General features: G+C 37.3%; 2 long non-coding RNA genes across 9 annotated transcripts in view, besides 1 other annotated feature; one reads left to right on the forward strand and one right to left on the reverse strand.

The window, feature by feature from the left end:
• Nucleotides 1–23369, forward strand: part of MITA1 (metabolism induced tumor activator 1) — a 133238-nt gene that overhangs the window by 81133 nt on the left and 28736 nt on the right. The window contains exon 2 of one of the 7 annotated variants that reach the window (XR_007060971.1): nt 15295–15782. The exons of the other annotated variants lie outside the window; for them this stretch is intronic. This is a non-coding gene — a long non-coding RNA (metabolism induced tumor activator 1). Of the gene's footprint in view, nt 1–15294; nt 15783–23369 lie in introns of those variants that run through there. 7 annotated transcript variants of the gene reach the window in all.
• LOC105375912 (uncharacterized) overlaps nt 18573–23369 on the reverse strand; it is a 42502-nt gene continuing 37705 nt past the window's right edge. For both annotated transcript variants that reach the window (XR_929075.3, XR_007060973.1), the window contains exon 3: nt 18573–18787. This is a non-coding gene — a long non-coding RNA (uncharacterized LOC105375912). The remainder of the gene's footprint in view (nt 18788–23369) is intronic.
• Nucleotides 21942–22443: an enhancer, noted in NCBI's record as "NANOG hESC enhancer chr8:79819781-79820282 (GRCh37/hg19 assembly coordinates)". NCBI's record gives its function as "activates a minimal SCP1, AML or CMV promoter by ChIP-STARR-seq in primed H9 embryonic stem cells {active_cell/tissue: H9 hESC(primed)}" and the evidence as "EXISTENCE:reporter gene assay evidence [ECO:0000049][PMID:30033119]".

Raw genomic sequence — 23369 nt, forward strand, 5'->3', positions numbered from 1 at the left:
AACCTCATTTTAACTTGATTACCTCTATAAAAATCCTGTTTTTCAATGAAGGTCACATTCGAAGGTACTGAAAGTTAGAACTTCAACATATGAATTTTGGTGGAGCACAATTCAGCCCATAGCAATGACCTTTGGCCACACACCCAACAATGTGATATGGCTGTTCTCCGAATTGCTAGCAACCTCAGTGCTGGGATGGATGGTGGGTACCTGCCAGTCCCACCTTTCAGTTGACCTGCTCCTTTACGGAGTCACTTTTTTGCCCTGTGAACCTGCTCCCCTTGTCCATAGTTTACTGTTCCACAGCAGTCAGCTGAGGTGATCATATTCTCCTTGGAATTTGGAATGGGGGACAAAGAGCCACTGATCTATAGAGGCTGAATTATTGAAATGTAGGCAAATAAATGCAGAAGCTCTGGGGCAGCTCTCCAGTCCATGGCCTTTGCCATACTCACTCCAGGCTGTTGGTATTCTTCTTGGGATTCTATGAGAAACCCCATCCCCCAACTCCCTCTCTCTTTCCCTCCCTTACTCTCTTTCTTCTTTTTTATCTTCCTTTTTTCCTTCCTTCCTTCCCTCCCTCCCTCCTCCCTCCCACCCTCCCTTTCTTCCTTCTTCCCTCCCTCCCTCCCTTCCTTCCTTCCTTCCTGCCTTCCTTCCTTCCCTCCCTCCCTCCTCCCTCCCACCCTCCCTTTCTTCCTTCTTCCCTCCCTCCCTCCCTCCCTTCCTTCCTTCCTTCCTGCCTTCCTGCCTTCCTGCCTGCCCTTTCATTATTTTTGAGTGTATTCGTCTTGAACTTGTTTAAAATTTATTTATGTTTCTTACAACAACAAAAATCTTGGTTAAGAAAGATTTGTCATCTTTCCTAACCAACAAAAATCTTGGTTAAGAAAGATTAATAGATTTGTCATCATTTAAATTTTTTAAATATATACTTTTCTCTGAATCCCAATATACAGAAAAAATAAGCAGAGTCTACTATGATGAAAGGAGGAGGTGGGTGCCCTCCCAGGTGCTCCTTCCAGTTTTTTCTTACTCCTCACCATCTCCACCCCCACAGGCATCCTGTTGCTGAGGGCTGTCTCTGGAACCCTGGGTCTGTGGCTTGAAAACCATGACGGTGTCTCACCCAGCTCCCAATTCTTGGGGCTTTAAACATCTTCCTCTATCTGTCATAAAAAATCCATCGATTTTTTAGAAAGTAACTGAGTTTGGGAAAATTATTTTCTGTCTATGAATAACCAGTGTCAAAAATATGGCTCCCCAAGAAGTTGGAGCCAATGAGTTTCCAAATAGGTGAAAACATGCCTTGAGATTTCTAACTAGAAATCCAAGAGCATAACTTCCCCAAATTACTTAAAAACCAGGGATTTTCCTATTTCTGACTGTGCTTGTTGTTTGTTCAAATTTTGGGGGGTTATTTGTTATTTTCAGTACCGTAGAGTTTGATAAATGAAGGAAAGTAGATTCCAATTACAAGTAAGTGATCATCAGTATAAGAGAACATTTTTTTCCCTAAAAAATCATGTGAATGAAATTGTTATTAATTGAGCAAGATATGCTGATAATATCTTTCCCTTATTTTTGTGAAGAGAAATTTAATGTAGCCTGTCTGCAACTCTTAAGACATGCAGGGAATATAAGGAAGAATAAAATGATCTCATTAATGGGTCCTTGTTTTAATTATAAAATGTTAAACACTAGTATTAAACAAGGGTCTTATGTTCTTCATCCTGAATAAAGTATGCATGAGGGGTTGCATGCAGAGGTAGAATTAGGGTCTCCATGTGGCAAAGGTAAGGGAATATCAGGTGGGACGTAATCAGTATTTCAAAAAATCTAATTTTCTTCAAGCACTCCTGACTTGCTCCGTGATTCACATTTTCAATAGAAATGTGCCATGATGTCTCATCTTTAATCGATTATACTTGTTTTTGAATTAAAAAAAATCACCAGGCAAGAACTGAACTGCCTTTGACCATCTAAGGAACCTACTGGGTCTTACTTTCCTTGTCTATAATAAAGCCTCTAAGTTATAATATTTTATATTTCTACTGATTTTGGAAAGCACATGCTATAAATCAATTTCTGATCAATGATGCTGCATTGCATGAGTCCAGGTGCCACTTTTTATGTAGAGCACATGGCAACCCAGATTTGATAAGTCAATATTTTAATCAATTATATCTTATCCTCATTGCAATTAGTTAGCATGATGCCAGATTTTACTAAGCACACTGAGTTCAATTTACATACACATAAATCACTGACAAATTCCTTTGGCATTTCAATATGAGAGAAACTAAGCTCTCTCAATAATCTTTAGAATATAATTTCCATTTTGAAAAATAAATTAGCCAGAAATCAAAAATTTTTTTAAAAAAAACATCTATAATGAGGAAGAGAATGTTACAACATTAATTCATTTCCTAGACTAATAAATATTTCCTTTTCTTGTTTGGTCAATTCTTTTTCATCTGAAGATAAACAATAAAGAGCAAAAGTAAAACTTAGAGAAACATTATTCGTTCAGACCTTCCCATAAGTGATGCCTTCTCCTCAGTTAGATCTTCTGTGAAAAAAGTTGTTTTACAGACAGGGTCTGGCTATGTTGTCTCGGTTTGAGTGCAGCGGTCAATCATAGGTCATTGCAACCTCAAGCAATCCTCCTACCTCAGCCTCCCGAGTAGCTAGGACTACAGGCATGTGCCACCATGCCCAATTAAGTTCTCTTAATTTACTTTTTGTGGAGACAGTGTCTTGCTATGTGGCCCAGGTTAGTCTTGAACTCCTAGCCTCAAGCAATCCTCTCACCTTAGCCTCCCAAAGTGCTGAGATTACAGGAATCAGCAACCATGCTAGGAAATGGATCTTGTTTCTAATATCATCCTTCATTGACCAATCTACAGCAGCTACCAGTTACTTTCAACCCTATTACTTCGGTTTAATTATCTTCCTTGAATTTATGACTAGCCTATGTTTTTGATTATTAATTAATTTATTATATGTATCTCTACTAAAATAGACTTCGTGATTATGGGAACATTGCCTTATTCACGTCAATTATATTCTCAATGTTTACTACAGTGTCTAGCACACAGTAGAGATGCAGTTGATATTTGTTGAAGAAATGAATACTAGCGTCCTGCCTATCTCAAAAGAGAAGGAGAAGAGTGTATTGATTAAGAATAAACTAGAGAATGACAACCCAGTTTCAAATCCAAGAAGGATTAGCTACATAATTTGAAGAACCTAGCACAAAATTAAAATGCAGGACACATTATTCAATATGTATTAAGAATGTTGAGACAGCAACAGTACAGCATTAGTTAGTGTGGACCCATTTAAAGGATGGGTTCTTTTCAAAGCAACTGCATAGGTTACATGGCCATGAAGCTGGCTGTAAATGATCTTGGGCAAGACTCTGGGGATGTTACCAAGGATTTTCATTTGTGCTCCTGGATGAAAGGATTTGTTATTAATAAAGAATTCTGAGGAATGCTGGTAAAGGAGAGGTTTTTAATTTTTAAGTTTTTAAGGCGTTTTGGGGGACTGTTCTTCAGAAAATCAAGTGATCAGTTTTAGAAATGTGAACTTTTACAATGTTGAATTTCAAAAGAATTTAAAAGATGGAGACTTCAAAAGATTTCAAAAATTTGGACCTTCTCTGTATGATGCAGAAGAAACTACTAGTGCTATCATCCCAATGTGTCTTTTTTGTTTCTCCATGTAACTGTGCATCCAAAATAGAGTATATATTACATATTTTCAACCTTATTAATGGACATTATACTGGATAGATAGTGTTGCATTTTTAACTCTCTCACTATTATATTGTATAAAATGTATCTGGGTTTTGTATGTATTTTTATTTATTTCAACTACAGTATACTATGCCATTGAATGAATATTATTATTACATTCTTTTTATGACAGATATTTAAGCAGTTTCCTCTTTACATCATAAAGTGCTACAGGTATTATTGTATATGTGTTTCTATGCACCTATGCTAGAGTTTCATTAAGAATTATATCTGGATGATAAACTATTGAATTGAAGGATATGGACATCTTCAGCAAGACATGGTATAACTGTTTTTATATTTGTTACATAAACTCATTCTCCCATTAGACTCCAGAGTTGATAATTATTCATACCATCATCCGTGTCATTTTAATTTTGTCAGACCTCTTTTTCTATTGCCAGTCAGATGAGTTGGAAAAAATACTTACTGAGTTTTACTCTGCATTTCTCTTATTTCTACTGAGTTGGGCATTGTTTTATATTATTTTCATGAATATTCTATTGCCATTGTCTGTAAATTCCCTGTTTATATCATCTGCTGATCTTTCTATTGGATTGTTTATAGTTTTTTATTAATTTATAAGTACTTTGTTTCTGGATGCTAATTCTTGGTGGTTAGATGTATCATGAATAATATCCTGAATCTATTGCTTTCTTTATTTGTTTTGGATGTCTTTGTCATGAAGATCCAGAAGCAAGTGAAAACCTCAAATGGCTTAGACATGTATAATATATAATTTTCTTATACAGCAAGGATTCTAGAGTAGCTATCTTAAGGATTTAGTCAACTCAGTGGTTTCCGTAATCATCCAGGATCTGGGTTATTTCCACCTTTCAGCTCAGTCAGCCTTAATGTTTCTCTTTTGTCCTTTGGCTTGTTCCCTTCTTTCCAACTGGGTGGCTGCCACATGGGCATCACATACAGACATGGAAAGAACTAGTTGAAAAGCTGCTGGTGTAACATTTTAAAAGCAATACATCTTTCTGATGAACACCGTTACATTTCTCAGTCTCACTGGCTACCCAAAAACCAATCCTGTGTGAAAAGAATGGTAAAAGTCAATGATTAACTTAGTCTTCTATAGGATTTTCTGCTGAGCTGAGAATGGTGTCCTCTGCTTTGAGAGATAGGAATCTGAACACCACAAGAGTTCTGTTAGCAAGGAAGATGGAAAAGTTGTCTACTTTGTAGATGGGTGCTTTTCAAAGCAACTGCATTGGTTACACGGCCATGAAGCTGGCTGTAAATGATCTTGGGCAAGACGCTGGGGATGTGACTAGGGATTTTCATTTGTGCACCTGGATGAAAGGATTTGTTATTAATAAAGAATTCTGAGGAATGCTGGTAAAGGAGAGGTTTTTAATTTTTAAATTTTAAGGCGTTTTGGGAGGCTATTGTAAATAAATCCCTGGTCAATTGTATTTTATAAGCATTTATTGCTGATTTATATGGATACTGATGATTATATGTTGATCTTTTTATAAGGAAGCTTGCTGCATTTCCTTTTTAACCAAATATCATAATACATTTGTACAGAACTTTTACGAATACTGTATATTTGAAGGGCAATTTTGTATTTTTCTTTTTATTATTTATTTTCTTTGTTTTATTATATTGGCTAGGACTTTTGATATGATGTTAAGTAATAGCAGTTACAGCACATTTGTCTTGTTTCTTATTTTAATGGGAACTTTTATTTTCCAAATGGATTCATATACTAGAACTAATTTCAATCTGTGGACATTTCTAAGAGATGTATATCAGAGCCATGTATATAAAATTTGTAATGGTCATGCACAGAAGAAATTGGCTATCTGGTAAGGCCTTAGGATTCCTACTGCAAGAAGTTTCCAAGCAATAGCTTGCCAACTTCTTTGTAAGTATATTGTAAGAATAGTTCAAGATTACCTCAAAAACAGAACCGTCCCATCCCTGGCTTGTACTCACAGGATTAGATATTCCTTTTACTCACAATAATGGGAAGCAGCAATACATCTGTTGACAAGTTTATTTATTTATTTTCTTCATTAAACAAACATTTTAAGAAGTCACTAACTCTGGGATAAACTTTGCGAACTCATTATATATTCTATGTGGAGATATAAATATGTACACATATTAATAGTTACCAAATTGCACCATAACTGCTGCAAAGAGCTATATACAAAGATTTCAGGGAAAAAATGTTGAAAAATACACCCACAAGTAATGAAACAGAGGATGCGAAACAGTGAACCAGCCCATTGTAGCTAGTGTGCAGTGAAAAATAGCAGCAGAGTCAAAGGTTGCAAACTGATGCTGATGTGAAAAATGACAGTTTTGTTTTTCAGCAAACCCTCAGGATTTCTTATTCCATCCAGGTCCTGAGGAAAACGAAGGGTTTCGTGTGTCCCAGTAAGTCCAACAACCATTGCTCTCCCTCTTCTTGTTCTTTGGTTACCTGTGGTTGCTTTGCTACAATCAGGATTTCAAATTGGTTGATGCTTCTAAGACAATATCTGAGAGTGTAACAGAAAGAAAAGAAAACAGGTTGGGGGCTGGATAAGAAGAATTGATGTTGTATTGTTGTTTTCTTTCTTCCTTCTGGATCCCAGAACCAGGGAGTTTATCACAAATGCTTTTATGATCCCTGAAGCCTAATGCTTCTGTAATAGAATATTGTCTTAGTAGGTAATTAATGAAGAAGCCCTCATGTTGTTCTTGTCTTGCTTATAGCATTAAAATCCAGGTAAAAATTTATTTTCTGGCAACCCACAATCACCTTCGATACACACTATTCACATTGTGCCCCATTTACAAAAGGAAAGAAACGATTCAGACTAAGTCTCGTACTTATAGTTGAAACTCGGCAAGGGTTGATTTCTGAAGGTTTTACACACTGGGAATCCAAGTCCATCTGGACAAAAAGATAAAGCTTTTCATAGATCATGTAAATGAAACACATAGATGACATTCCAGAATTGCCATTAAAAGACTTTTAACAAGTTGGACATGTTCAGTATCATCCAAAAGTTTTCACTACCCTGTGACTTCTTAGAGAATTAAATTGCCGTCAGAGAACTTCAATAAGCCAGTGTTCAATTAGTACCTTTGTTTGTTTTTCCTTAGTCTTGTCAAAAGGAAGATTAATGTGCAGTTTTTCTGCACTCAAAACAGCTTTTCTTAAAAGGAATATGGTGTCTAAATCAAAATTCCATTTAGATGCAGGGAAACTGTGATTTTTTTTAATAGTGTGTGATGATCATTTCACCTTTCCTCCCATCTCCTTCACTCTTAAGTTTTTTCCCTTGTAAGCAAACATTTAATCCTGCTTAACCCTTCTTCTGCACCATTCCCCAGTCCTGTGATGCTGAATACTATAATCTTTGAGTTTTAATGCATAGGTGAAAGAAAAAAAAGATTTCTGCAAAGGTGGAAGCTAAGAGAAAAAAACTGTAGGGTCATTTTACAAATGGAATCACTAAAAAGCCATGCATCTTGCTGGGTAATAGCACAGAACCTTTAAATCACAGAAATTAGAGACAGGAGACCTGTCAGGTCACCTTGTCCACCTCCTATAGCAGCTTTATGTATTTTGTGTGAAATGACATGCAGTGAAGCATTTACCGGAGCCCTGGGGAGACTCTAGTCCTCAGTAATACATCTCCCTGTTGAGAAAATGTCATAGAGAACAGTCCAGCTTTTCTTTTGCCTAATTTCACATTGTTCTGCTTTGCTATCTCTTTTAAAAATGCAGCCACACATTCTTTTGCTCCTCCATCTTTAAAACCTACAACTTTGTAATATTACGTTATTATTGTCTTCCTTTGTAATTATTTGAGCCAAGCTATACAATTTGCATCTTAAAATACTACTTTAATCAGTCACCAATGCACCATGTAGTGACTTCCTAAAGGCTTATTCATTACACTCCCATTTACCCTGATCAGAAGCTGTGTTTCATGTAATTTCATTTTTTTCATGTGTGTTTGTAGAATCAAGGAGTTCGCTCAATTCTTACGACAAGGAATGTGGTTCTCAAGCTAGTGACTGGACATCACAATTCCATTAAGATTCAGATAACTCCTACAGCCATTACTTATTTTCCTACACAAGTTTCTAGGACACCATCAAGTCCAGTATCTCACAAATCTAAATACTTCCTGGTGTGTCAGCTTGTCCAAGTGAAACCACCTTTGCAAAACTGTGACAGAAAGAGAAATCTGACATGGCTGACTTCATCTTGCTTCTAGGCTCACAGGCTGGCTGTCTTCACTCATTCCTGGGGATGGGCCAAGCTAACTTTGGGAGAAATTTAGTTTATAGTTTAAATGATAATAGCTCTTCCCCAAAACTAAACTGCCCTTGTAAAACTAATGAAAGACCCCCAAGTTAGGAGGATGAGAAGGGCCTGCATTCTACTATGATGCAGGTTTAGCTAAATAATTATCAGCCATTATTCAGGAGGTCACAAGATTTGCAAATTACTCAATTACTCTTGTAAATAACATCACTATTGTAGTATAGTAACTAGCCAGGCATGGTTGCCTGCACCTGTAGTCACAGCTACTCAGGAAGCTGAGGTGGGAGGATTGCTTGAGCCTGGGAGGTCAAGGCTGCAGTGAGCTATGATTGTGCCACTGCACTCCAACCTGGGCAACATAGTGAGACACTATCTCAAAATAAATAAATAAATAAGTAAAACCTAAGACGGGGCTTTTGAGATGTCTTTTCAGGCTTTTGCATTTCTGACTACCTAATGACCCCACCCAGACCTGTTACTCAACCAGTCCTGTGGCCCCAACTCAGAAGCAGACCCAGCTCAAGAAGACTGTATTCTACATCCCTATTATTGCATTCCCCAATCAATCAGCAGCACTCATGCCTTAGCCCTCTGCTTACCAAAGTAACTTTGAAAAACCCCTAACCTCTGTGCCTATGGTGAGATTGATTTGATTAATAACTCCATCTCCCGCGTGGAGTGGCTGGCCTTGTGTCAATTAAATTCTTTCTTTACTGCAATGCTATGGTCTCCGTGAATTGATTTTGTTTTTGCAGTAGGTAGGAATAACTTACTGGGTGGTTACACAATTGTATGTGTGAAGAAACACTGTTTAATACCTCTTGGGCAAAGCATGAGCACAGCTATATGACTGACTCTTTCTGGATAAGTTATTTTGTCTACATGTATTTCAAAATGCCATGTATTACACTACCTTCTGGAAGATAAAACTTCACATTTTGCAGATCCAAAAACCTTACTTCTCCTAGGTAGGAAATGGAGACACAATCTCCACTCAGGTTTCTAGGGTGAGCCAAAGTCAATTGAACTTAAAGATCTGATTTTGATTCCAAGATGCTGTGCATTGGAAGGTAGAGACGCTCTTGTAATTATTCCTTCTCCACCCACCACCAGCACCCCCAACACCATCACACTGGCCTCAAGTGGGTACACTGCTCACTGTTTAACATCCTGCCGTAGCATGGGCATGCAGTCTTTCTCACAATGCCCCAGGACAGGGCTGCAACATTTAGATAAGACTTTAGTAAAGGCTTTTGGACAACCACAGGGACACACACACAGAGAATCAGGTATGCAGATTACAACTTGAATTACTGGAATGGTAGATCACATTCCATATGAGTTTTTGGCCTATCTCTATGATATGGTTTGGATGTGTCCCCACCCAAATCTCATCTTGAATTGTAGCTCCCATATGTTGTGGCAGGGACCCAGTGGGAGATAATTGAATCCTGGGGGCAGTTTCTATTCTCATGGTGGTGAATAAGTCTCACAAGATCTGGTGGTTTTATAAGGGGTTTCCTCTTTCACTTGACTCTCATTCCCTCTTGCCTGCTGCCATGTAAGACATGACTTTTGCCTTCTTCAGTGATTGTGAGGTCTCCCCAGCCACATGGAACTCTGAGTCCATTAAACTTCTTTTTTTTTTTTAATAAATTACCCAGTCTCAGGTACGTCTTTATCAGCAGCTTGAGAACAGACTAATAAACTCTACTTAGAGATTTTTTTCTTCCACCCAGGGCCCAAAGTATAGATATTATGATGCCTCAAATTTAAGACTCTTCTGAACCTGCCTAGTAAGAGTAATGCTGAGAGAGGAGTTACTTGTCCTACCCTCTAGAGACTTTACTGAAGCTAGGAGCTGGAACATGCCCATGCATACCAGATGGACAAGGATAGTAAGCTTTTGTGCATTTTTTTTTCTCAGAGGGGATCAGAATATTACTGGGCCAAAAAACAACCTAAAACTTCCCCACAAAACCTGACAAACTTGTCTCAACATGCATTACTCTATAACAAAAAAATGGGGAACAGGATGTTGCAGGAGCAGTGGGAGGGAGAGAATGGCTGGTGGGCAGAGAGATAGAAAAGGAAAGAGAATTATGTGTTGAGTACTTACCCTGCAGGCATGTACTTTATGTACATTATCTCATTTACTCATTACCTAAATGATTTCCAGGTAGGTAAATGGAAAACAGTTCTGTCTCACTCTCTGGCTTATACCCTTCCATCCACACAATGCTACACCATTTTTCAAAGACATGAGGTTTAATGAGACAATAATGTTGGTAAAGTGTTCTAATTTCCTCTGAGAAAAGGAGCCATAAAATTTTATTGTTATTGTTACACTTATTATTGAAGCTCAATGAATGCTTTAGTGGTGTCATTGATGTAACTAATATTACTCTCATTTATTTCATTTAGGGAACTAATGTCTAAAAATAAGAACAAGCAAATTTAGTGGGCTATAGATTCAGCTGGTTATCAAGTGCTACTTTGCAGATAGAGACCTTGAGGACTAACTCAACAACCCAACAATCAAGGTCGAAGATGGTCTTGGGGGCAAAAGTGAAAAGTGTAACCACTAGGGACTCTTTCTAATGCTGGGCTTTCCCAAGGGGTGAGAAAGGGATGGATTAAAGGTGAAATGCTTGAAACATTGTATTCTCGGTCTGTAATTGCTGAGAAAGGGATGGAATAAAGGTGAAGGGCCTGAAACATTGTATTCTCTGTCTGTAATCGTTAAGGAATATAGCAATAATTCCTCCACTTGTTTGTGGAAATAACAATGGACCCAGTTTAGATAATTTGATTCTCCAGAAGGGCAGGCATTTTCTCCTTTCTATGAAAGAGTTTATTGTGTTAAGTATATAAAACAAAATTATGTCAAGGACAGGAAGGCACTACAAAATGACATGGAGTCATGCATATATTTAAGCACGAGCAGGAACCTTGGCATGATTAATTTTAGGTTTGCCATCTTAAAAATTCTTTACAGTGGGAAATAATTCAATTTCCTCCTAAAAGTTACATTTTTGCTTAAATAATCACCAGCTTGAACTGTAATTTAGAATGGAAGAATGAGAATTCTACCTGCCTTTTTATTTGTCAATTATGTGTTTAATTATCATTTGTCTAAGCTTGGACTTCATTGTGTTCACATTTTTTCCTGACGTGCTATGTTTGAAGAAATGTAGAATTCTGCACTTTATTCAGACCTTACCTCTGATTAAAGCAGAAAGGGATGTCCATGTGATCCACTTTCCTTGTTTTCAGAGAAGAAAACTGAGACCTAGCGAAAACAAGTGCCTCAGCTGAGATCTCACAGTTGGTTAGCAGTGCTTGGCATTTAATCCAGGCCCCATTCCACGACTACATTTGTCCATTTCATTTATTAGGAATTTGTGTAGACAAGTCTTTCTGTTAAATTACTTTACCTTGAATTTGTCTCATCTTTTTCCTAAAAGGGCAATGCAGAATGAACACAAGGACTCCTTTGCTATCTATTGCTAAGTATAGGGAAGGTGGAAAGTACCTGGTTGCCTCTACAGCTCTTCTCTGTGTCCTTGTGTGTGGCACCACTGTTTGACAGCAAAACTAAGCCAATGCCTTGCATTGAGGCACACTGGGGATAAAAATCTCATTCATTGATTGATGAAAAACATGCAAGAACAAATTATTCCTTCATTGTCATTCATAAAGCATTTCCCTACCACCAAACTTCACATCTCCTCTTTTCCTTGCCTAATCTTGCTTTCCTACAGAAAATGTTCAGCATGGATAGTTGGGGGAAACAGGAGGGAAAATATAGGAAGTGGTTAGGAGAAAGGCAAGATTGACCCCAGCAAATGATTTTGAAGCATGCCTGGAAATAGTTGGCATCTCAGGCTAGACATAAATTCATTGTCTTGAGTTCACAGCACTTGCCTTTTATTTTCTGGAAGTCACACTTCTTCAGTGAAATAAAAAATGTCCCTAATGGTGGTAATCTCACTTCTTCCATGGAAAAAAAAATTCTCATTATCACCTCCTCTGCACACTCCTAACCAACCTCCCAGTAATCTTGTTCTCTTTAATTAACCTACTTCCTGTAATTGAAAAAAAATGAAGGAAATCTTTTTATTTGGCCAGCTTATAATTTAGTTTATATAGAGGAACATTTTATTTTTTAAGCTAAAACTATAATACAATATCAAATAGAGAGTAGGTGCTAAAATATCTGATGAGCGAGTGGATTGATTGGATGATGAGTTTAGTAATCATTTTTTTGGTACTTAGACTGGTCAGCCTTTTTAGGAGGGGGAGACAGATAGATAGTTACTGTGATAAGAGTTTGTTGTAGTTTAATGGAGGAGACATACAGGTAAACGATAAAAACAGTGTAACATGATAAATGTCGTTAAGAGATAGAAACAAAGCACTGTGGAATCTTTGAGAAGAGAATGAGAAATTCTCTTGGGGTGTCAGGAAAGGCTTGTAGCAATGTTAGCATTTGAGTTGGATCTTAAAGGATGACTAAGACTGTCCTAGGATTATGAAAATGGACAAAAGTGGAAAAAGAAAGCTTTCAAGCTTATGCAAAGACTTGGAGGTTATAGAAACCTGGCATGTTTGATGAACACTTAGAAATTTTAGAAATTTGGTGTGGCAGAAGCCTTGAGGGAAGTGGCAGGAGATGGTGTACGCTGGAACCAGAGTCTGAAAAGTCTTGAATGTCAACTGGGGAGGTTGGATTTTATTTTCTGGGCAGTAGGCAACCAAGAGAGGCTTTAAACCTGGGAATTTACATGCTTGATTTTTTTCTGTTTAAAAAAGAAATCTAGGGATGATATCTATAAGGGTCTTGTTACAGAAACCAGTTAGGGAGTAATTTTAACAGTTCAAGTGAGATGTCTTATTCGGTTTAGCCTACTCTCACAATGTACCATAAACTGGGTCATTTATAAATAACAGAGATTTATTTTTCATAGTTCTTGAGGCTGGAAGTGTGTCATCAGGGCATCAGCATGGACATATTCTGTTGAGGGCTGTCATCCATGTTACAGACTGCTGACTTTTGTTGTGTCCTCACATGGCAGAAAGAGGACAAGAGAGCTCTCTGGCCTCTTCCTGTAAGGGCACTAATAATCTCATTTGTGAGGGACCCTCCCTGGTGACCTAATTACCTCCTAAATGTATCACCTCCAAATATTATCACAGTGGGATTAGGGGCTTGAGATATGAATCTGGTGGCACACAAACATTCAGTTCATTGCAGGTAAAATGAAGATTGTCAGTGACAGTGGAGACAAGGAGTAGAGGTCCCTAATGCAGACTCAACAGATTTCAGTGACTGACTGAGAGGGTAGTTGACAGTAGAACTGAGGTTCTTATAGTGGGAAGTCATTAACTTGAGAACATAAAATACAGATAAGGTTTTCACTTATTCCACACACGTTTCATTAAAAATCCTTCATGTATCAAGACCTACTTGGGAATCTTACGAAAGAGAAATATTTCCTACCATTATAGAACACACTGTTTGGTGGGGCTATATAGATTTAAAAGTTAATTATGTTGTGGTAACTACAATGATGGCTAAAAATGGCCACCTTTATAGTGATTATTATGTGCTTGACACTATTCTAAATATTTTACATGAACTACCCCTTTTAATCTTGAAAACACTCTTAAAAAGGAGAAGCTGTTATGATTCCCACTATACATGTGAGAAACTGAAGCACAAGGAGGTTAGGTAATTTGTCCAAAGTCATACAACTGGCAATGCAAGAGCCAATATTTAAGCCCAAGCAGTATGACACCAGAGTCCACGCCAGTGAACACAAAACAGAATTCCTCTGTGATAGAAGTATGTGTAGAATAGTGTGTGTGTGTGTGTGTGTGTTATGAATTTTGTTGTCAATATTAAGTTGGAGCTGTGCAGTCTCAAAGTTTATTGTTCCAGTAAACAATTAGAAATTTTGGCTTACAGGTTGGAAAATAGATGAAAGCTAAAGGCATAGTTGAAATCTGCATAAAATTAAAGCTATGGGAGTGTATCTCCAAGGGAGAGTAATTTTTCCACAATTAGAAGGTCATAGCTCTGGGATCCCCAACACATATGGGATGTGCAAAGAACATGAAAGAGCAGGAATGGCCAGAGGATTGCTAGACGATGTCGAGAGTGGAATATATAGATATCAGAATTAGCGTTTCTAGAAAGAGGGAGATACGATGAACAGTGCCAAGTGCTGCAGGAAAGTTATGTAGGACTGAATATAGATGAATACAGATGGTTGAATTTAGCAATTGGAAGGTTATTGTTGGTTTTAATGAGAATAATTTTTGTTGTCTGATAGTAAAGGTAGCCACATTTGAGAGGCTGAGAATGAAAGGTCATGCAAAGAGGGATTGATATTTTTTGTTTGAAGAAAGTAGTTTCCAGAACAAAGGAAGTAACAGTCTGTTAATGCCAGATTATCAAACAGAATTTGGAAATAGTATGGAGGAGGAAGGAAACAGAGAGATCATTTGCAACTACTATTCTTACAAAGCAGCTAAAGGAATGAGTTAGCCCACAAATAAAAGGTGGTTAATCACAGTGCTTATTATAGACTTCAATTTCATTATGTAGCAAATCAAGAGTGCATCCATAATATACCTTTATTCAGTCACTCATTCATTTGTTTGTTCAGTAAACATTAAGCACTTGGGAAGCACTATTCATGTAGACTGTATGCATGTGCAAGTATTGGCATGTGTTCAGGGCAATGCAGGAGGAAAAGGGTGGTAGGAGAGACAGCTGACCTGAAAGCTTGCCTGGCATAATGATCAACACTATAAAGCCAGGGAGAGCCCAGCAGTCCTGTTTGTTAAACAGTGTGAAGTGCAATGGACCTAGAGTATTTGGGGGTTGGTAGGTCATATTGTTATTACTGACAAAAGACAAGAAAGCCAAAATCAAGAGCTGAAAATAAGAATGTAGTTTTGTATTAGATTTTATTTCTTAAAATTTAAAAACTGTATATTTACATTAAAAAGTAAAAAATAAGAGCTAGCAATACTAATATCACATTCTGTTTCTCTCTTTGAAAATATGCTTAATCATCACATTGATGAATGCAGAATGCATATCCCATACAGAGATTGTTTTGTTAGCAAATTTTCTTTTTCTCAAGCTAATATCTTAATATTTTTTATTTTTTATTTTTTTGTCGTTGATAACAGCTGTCCATCATGCATGAAGATGGCATTGACTGAATATTGTTTCCCATGCAAAGCTGTTGATAGAGATGGTTCAAGAAATAGCAGATTTCTCTTCGGATCTTGACTCAGCTCATGTGATATAATTACTTCTAAAACAAATTTACTGTCATGCGCCAGAGAAACAGACTAAATTACAATAAAAATAGATCTATGAACCCACCATAATAATCATTTTTCAGGGAGGACAGTTGAAAAGGTTATTTTTAATGTCATTAGAAAAAGTGGAATGAATGGGAGTCAGGAAAAGGCTAGGCAAGAAGAAGAAAGGAGAAATGATGAACAGAACATATTGGCAAGAGGAGCTGCAGCATGAGAACCTCTGTTATAACTGGCTTCAGGAGTGCATGTTTGAATAGACACAGACTACATATTTCGTTTTTGGTTTTCCTATTATGGCGGATGGTATATAAAGTGTTGATTTGGTGCAGATTAAAACTTGAGATACCGAACATCATTCTTTTATTTTCCTGTGATGCCCCTTGCCCCATAAAGAAAGAAAACATAACTGCTCATCATTTGCTGTAGGACAATCAGCACACACACACACACACACACACACACACACAGACACACACACACACAGAATTAATGCAGAGTTTTTACTTCTGATGTAAAATGTTTATGTATGTGTGTGGCTGAGAAATGAGAAGCTTCCCTGAGAAATATGGAGGGGAAGGGAAACTGACCTGTTGTTTAATGGAGATCATTTTACAAGCTGACTTCAACAGCCTCTGTTCTTACTTGGATATGGGAAAGGAGGTGTTTCAAGGTACACCCGTGCTTCACAAGAAGTTATCACAGAATTTGGGACGTATGTCCCTGTGAGTTGGGGAGCACATGACAGATGGTAACTTCTAGACAGGTTGGTTTGTTGGTAACTGAGTAAGGAGGCCACACTGGGAGCCAGTCACAACAGCACCAATGATGGATGATGGAGGGAGATGTCTTGAGATGGTCCCACTCAGAGTGAGGGGAATGCTTCAAAAGGAGCCTGGAAACAGATTTCCAGATGCAGAAGTGAAAGGTGATGGGCTTTGAACAATGAGAACACATGGACACAGGAAGGGGAACATCACACTCTGGGGACTGTTGTGGGGTGGGGGGAGGGGGAGGGATAGCATTAGGAGATATACCTAATACTAAATGACGAGTTAATGGGTGCAGCACACCAGCATGGCACATGTATACATATGTAACTAACCTGCACATTGTGCACATGTACCCTAAAACTTAAAGTATAATAATAATAAAATAAATAAATAAAAAATAAAAATAAAAAATAAGAAAGGTGATGGGCTGTTGTAAGCTGTCAGCCAGCCTGAAGGAGGCATTTCCACCTCCAGGAAACTGTAATGAGAGATCCCCATTGATGACAGACATTCCTGAGAAATCCACAAAAGCACCTTATGAGAGAAAGAGCCAGAAGACCAAATTAAAATCCTGCCAGTGTCTTAGCACCTTTGCTGTCCCCTACCCTCTCCCTGACACCCCAATTTACTCATTCTGAAGGAGCCAGAAACTAGAGCAGGTAAAGAAAAAACAAGCCAGTACCTTCCATCTTAGACAGGCCCAAGCTAAGGAGTGCAAATGTTTTTAATTGGCAGAAAGTTCAGTTTTAATGTTGGACTTTGCTGGTCATATTAATAATTCTTTATTATGCCGTAGCTGGTGTTAATGGGAATGGTAAGTAACAACTCAATTGCTTTCCGTTAGTATCCTACCAAGTCCATTTCATTCTATTTAAGACAGTAAGTCAGTATTCTATGATATCACTAAATACCTTATCTTATTGATGTCTAAAAGATAAGGAGTGATACAATGGAAAAATCTTTCAAATTATTTAAAAGAAAAAGGGACAGAGATTGGAGTTTGAGTGTCAGATCTCTTTATCGGCCATGATGCCTCTACTAAGCCCTAATTTTCTCATATGCAAAGTGGAATCATAAATGCCTGTTTCACTGAGTTTCTTTAATTCCTAGTTTTTAGATTATGTTTTCTATTTAATGTACTAAAATGTGTGAGAAAAATACGTATTTCTCTCCGTGATACCATTTTCAATTGTGAGTCTTCAGTTCTCAGGTCTTATACATTAATCTCACTTGTAGTCCCTCTGTGTGCCCTCTTTATCTGTGAATCTATTTTATTTGTGTTTAGTGAAATTGGACCGTATTTCTTCATTGTACCCTCTTTCTGCATGTGCCATCTTTGATTTATTTGAGTTCCTAAGTTTTAAAAACTATAACAACTTAGCCATTCAACAGACATTCTCAAAATGATGACAAATGTTATGCATATATAGTAATATATATGTGTATATATATATATATTTATTTATTAATTTCCAAATTACTGGCATCACATCCATCTATCTCCAAACATCTTTTCCCTCCCCTCAACCTCTGCTCTTTCTCTCTCTTTCTTCCTACCTTTCTCTCTCTCTCTGTCCTTCTGGACTATTGACCCCTTCAATATTTAATATCACCTCCAAAAGGATAATTAAAAGGTGATTTGGAAAGATTTGCTTTCCTCAGTCTCTTCTTTATCTACTTCTTTTCACCAAATCTCTTTTTTCTCCTCCTTTGAAATGATTTTGTAATCTATCTACCCTTTCACCTCACTGTGCTACTTCTTTATATGTTACCTAAACTATTACCTAAAATCATAATGTACATGCTCATCTCCAGGCTTGCACACTCCAATCTGTACTTCTAACTGTTAAATTTCTAGAGTGCACACCTGATTCTCTCATTTCCTGATTTAAAACCTTCATATTTTTCTGCATTATATTTAGGATGATTTCCAGCTTCTGACTTATCATCGCACTTGAAGCTGTTTATAATATGCCATAATTTGCCTTGCCTATGCCATCTCTGGTGCTTTCTACTCCTGTCAGACTGTTTTGCTGCTGTTTTCCATGCATGCCATGAAGCTTCACACCTCTCAGCTTGTGCTCATACTGTTCCTTCTGCCCAGATTACTCCTTCCATTCTTATCTAGTTGTCAAATCTTGTTCCTCACATTCTGCTCAAACATCAAATATAAAATACCCTTTCTATGCAGCTTTTCACAGAGCTCTAGCAAAATTGTTATTAATCACCCATACTGTGCTTCCCTCCACTCTCCCACTCCTCATTTTTTTTAGTTAGTAGTCCTTGTGATCCCCCAGAGATAATCAGGGCCTAAGAGCTGAAAATAAGTTCTTTTACTTCTAAACTCTCATAGGCAAGGCGAATGCCAAATGTTAATTACTAAAATGGGTAGTAATGTGTTTTTAGAGTTCAGTATGTATCAGCCAAATGTATGCACGAGGGTTTTACATGCATGAAAAAAACTTAATTGCAACAACATTATGCTGTAATTTTCCTGAAGAAAGAGACTTGCTTTATTCATTGTAGGTTCTTTGATGTCTAGAACTGTACTTGGTCTGGCAGATGCTCAAGAACTCTTTGTTGACCTGCAAAATAAATTAATGAATGAAGAAACAACTCTGTAAGAAATGGACTAGCATGATATCCATAGCACAAATAAGGAAGACAAAGCAAATGAAGTCAAGTGATTTGGTTGTTACACCTAAAATATGTGGTAGTTGAAAGCATATGTGCTAACACCATATTCAATGCTTTTAAAACATTAATACAACACTGCTCTATCCAGTTGGACTGGGAAATGGCAATTTTTTTAGAAGCAAACTTTGGAAAGGTGGCAGCACAGAAATTAGTCCCTACACAAAGCCAAACAAAAAGCAAACAATAAAAGACACTACCACAACGACCATGACCACAAGTTTAATCTGAAATGAGATTTAAATGCTACAAGGATTTTTAAGTGAATTTAATTATTACCAGTAGAAATTGAAAATTGGAAGAGTAAGTAGGATTTCAGAACCCAGCCCCCGACACCTCATCCTCCACCTCAATCCACACATATACCAACCGTCGGTGCTTTAATACCCAGAGCATGCTCACCAGGGTCTGGGGCCAGTTAAAGGCTGGGCTTTATCATGGAAGCAGATGTACTTTCTATTGCAATGAAAAATATTAAGTTGTATTTTAGACACATAGAATAAATAAATAAATAAATAAATAAATAAATAAATAAATAAAAAGACATATTTAACTATGTCTTCAAATATTTCACTCTATTATATCCCTCATATAGTAGGATTTCCAAGAGGACTGGTAGAAATACTGCTTTAAAATTTTATCTTAAAAAAGTAGAGCCTATCTCTCATTATTAGAAGTATTTAAAGTTTGCAAAGTTGTGTGCTATGGGAAAGAGATTTGTTTTAAATTTATTAAAAGATGAGAAGTCTAGCGAATTATCGGTAAAGTGATCTCAGTGAAAAGCTAAAGTAATAAGAGATAATAAACTGCTTAGATACTGAAACTTCCAAAAATTTTTGAGAGGCGCCAGTTTTGCCATCCTCCTTTTAACTCACTTGTGCCTTCAATGGCATAGAGAAATGTTTAAGAACCCAGCTCCAGACCCAAGCTGCCTTAGTTGAAGTTATGGGTCATACACACAATAACTACAGTATCTTGGGCAAGTTACTTAATCTCTTTCTGCCTCAGTTTACACATTTGTGTGGAGGTAATAGTAGAATGTCCTAATGTCATTATAAGGATTCAATAAGTTAGAATCCAAAGCAATTAGAATATTGCCTGTCATGTGAAACCAGCTAATACAATAGTTGTTATTATTTGTGAAGAAGGAAAATTGAGCCAAAAAAATGTAGTTCTTATGACAGTCTAAATCTCAGTGTCTTCTTTCATTCATTCAGATTTGATTAAGTGTTAATAAGTGAAGTATGAGCCTATTAGCAAGGCACTGTGGAAGGCAGTGGGCATGGAAGAATGAATAAGGAATGGGCTTTGGCCTCAAATGACAAGCCATACAGACTCAACAACCTGTAATAATATGCACACTCAAAGTGGATGCATTTTAAATTGCTTGTAAAAGCCCCCATGAAATTCTATCAGCTGACATGAAAATAGCATTCCATTAATTTTGATAGAATTCATATCCCTTTCCTTCCCGCCTCACAACAGACATTGCAATGGAGAGAACATGCACGTATCCCTCCTATCTGCATTTTTCCTTATTTCACATCTGTAGAAAGAGGGGGCTTTTAGGCAGATCTCTGAATAATGACTCTGAAAGTACTTATGAAATAGTCCTAAAATAAAATAAAAACTTCTGTTAATTCAGAGCAAAAGGTAGTTGTTTCTGTAAACTTCCAGGAAAGCAGGTTGGTAAGCAGATAATCTCTTCTACCCAATGCCATCAATATGGCCATTTAAACTTGGAAAGATTGATGTGTATGGTGCCTTCCTACTTGGGAATGCTATAATTTACTTTTTTACACTTGTAAGACTAGCCCAACCTGGTGAAAACACCACTATGATTATCTCAATAGTGCTGAGTCAGATTAGGTTTTTTGGTAAGGACTCTTGGAGTCTGTCAAAGGAGTGACTTTCCCTTACTTGACAGCACACAGGTAGAATTTGGTGCTTTGAGTCCTAGTTACAGGGTTTTAAAAAATTATTTATTTTTATTTTTTAGAGATGGGGTTATGCTAGGTTGGCCAGGCTGGCCTCGAACTCCTGGCCTCAAGCAATTCTCACACCTTGGCCTCCCAAAGTGCTAAGATTATAGGCATGAGTCACTGTGCCCGGCTCCAAGGCATAGAATTTTAATAATGTTTTGTGTTCTTCTGTAACGGGACAGCACTTGAGAAGTTTTCATTTGAGCATGAATGTGAAACTTGGAACTGTAATATTGGTAAGTGACGTATTTTTTTTTTACAGATCATACCATGTTTTTCACATTGTACTTAAGATATTATGTATTAGACCTACTTTTGCCTAAATGTTATTTCCCCCTCTCTACATCAGTGGAATTATTATTATTTTAGCACTTTGTGACATTGTAATTTTATATAATACCACAATTGTTGTGCATTTCTGTGAGTTTTAAACTTGACTTCTTTGCAGAATAGGGACAAAGGGGAGACTAAAGCAAAATACACTAAGGACATCCTAAATTCTCCTTCACCCTCAAGATAATGTAATCATTCATCAGTTCTCCATAAAAATTCATTCAGCAGAGCAGGGAGAAGTCTGGCATTTCATATTTAGCTACCGCTGAGAATATGCTAAAAGCTTTTTCTCAGACACACTGTCATTTCTAAAAATGTCAGGCTTACAGACATGACATGCTCCAGAAACTCACTTTAATTTGAATAATAACTAAGAGCCTGTCACATGCTAAGTCATTGGAACTATTTCCTACTCAGTTCTGCAGTAAAGAAAACAACAAGCTCTCCCCAAGCCTATTCTATTTTCCTTCCCACCTCCCACCAACAAAACATTGTTTTTTCTATCACACAAAAAAGTTATGAGTACTTTAGGTCTCCTATGAAACATTACTGTGTGTGTTTTATTCCAACTATTATAGGCTTCTTCTGCCTTATTCCTTAATAGCAGCTTCTTATTAGATACATAATTTTGTGTCTCTCTTCTGAGAAAACATGAAATTACTGTATTAATATATGTTTTATAAAGGAAAACAAGATATCAAGGAGAGGCTATGCTAGCATTTCATGTGGGTAATCTGAAGAATCTTATGTGTGTTTCATCGACTGCCGTGAAGATTTGATATTTCTTTCTTATGGATTCTGGGAAACACTGTCTTGAAGATAAGATGGCCCCTCTTTTTTTTAGGAAATGAGAACTCAATAAGGAACAATATTGATTCGAGTTCATGCATCTGGGAATTGTAAGGCTTTATGTCCTTCATTAAACATGGTCAGCAGGGGCCCAGATACTCCTGAGCTACAGGCAATTATATATGAGTGGTTTCATTTACCACAAAACAGTAGGTGGCTCACACTTTAGGAATGCTTCCTTGATGTTGGATGTCAAATTCTCATTTAAATTCCTTCAATATCTTCAGTGACTACCTAAGCAGCTTCTTCTACTCCATTGCCTGTAAACGGAGGCTGGCTCTTGGGAAAAAGTGAACTACCACAGATGGGATAGATGTTAGTGGCAGCCGGTATTCATAGACCCAACAGCCATTTTCAGAAGGCACTTGGAAGGATGTTGGTGTGGCCAATGAGATATTCTAACCCCGTAGTTTGAATGTAGGGTGAGCAATGCAAAGGACTGGGGAGAGGGAAGATGCTATTTCAGGGACAGTGAGTGACAGCAACAGACCCCCTGAGGTCCAAGGTCTGGTTATATTGTGATAGCGGTGGCAGCAACAACATTAGTGCCAGACTATTATGAGGGCTGATTTTGGTGGTGATTCTGGTCATTTAGTTTATTTTAGTTTCTAACACTCATCCAAGCCTGAAAATTCATTCACCTCATGGATTCCGGAAAAGCCAATATGCATATGACACATTCATTTTCTGCTAAAAGAATGTTACAAAAGGTTCAGGCAGGTCTAATCACCTGTGGTGGTTCTTTCTTTTTTTTTAATTTCTGATCTGTCACAGATGGATCCCTTCATTACATTAATAAAAAATGTTAGAAAAACCGAGTTAAGAGAAAAAATAAGCTCTAGTTTTTATAACTAGATTCATCAAGCTTAAAATTAAATGTTGTGGTAATCTTCAATGGCAATACAAGTTTCTAAATGGTTAATATCTATTTCTGTGCTTTTCTTATTGTTGGCCAGAAATAAGCAGTTCATGCACTGGCAGACCACAATTCGATTAGTAATGTGGTAAGAAATCAAAATTTAACTCTGTCTGAATCATACTTTTAAATATTACACAAATGTGAGAGAGAGAGGAAAAGGGAGGGGGAGGAGGATAAAAGGTAAAAAGAGGAAGATAGAAAGTTGAAGACTTGAATCAAAACTAGAATAGACATTGCCATAGGCACCTTAGACGTAAGAGTTTATTGGTACCCTAATGAGATTTTTGAGCCTGGATTAGTACTCATTTTGATTGTGCAATTATATTTACAAAGTTGTACCTACATCTTCCCACTGTAATCCTACTTGGATGTTCCAAAATGTATTTTGTG

Source organism: Homo sapiens, chromosome 8 (genome assembly GCF_000001405.40).
Source record: "Homo sapiens chromosome 8, GRCh38.p14 Primary Assembly".
NCBI classification, from domain to species: Eukaryota; Metazoa; Chordata; class Mammalia; order Primates; family Hominidae; genus Homo; species Homo sapiens.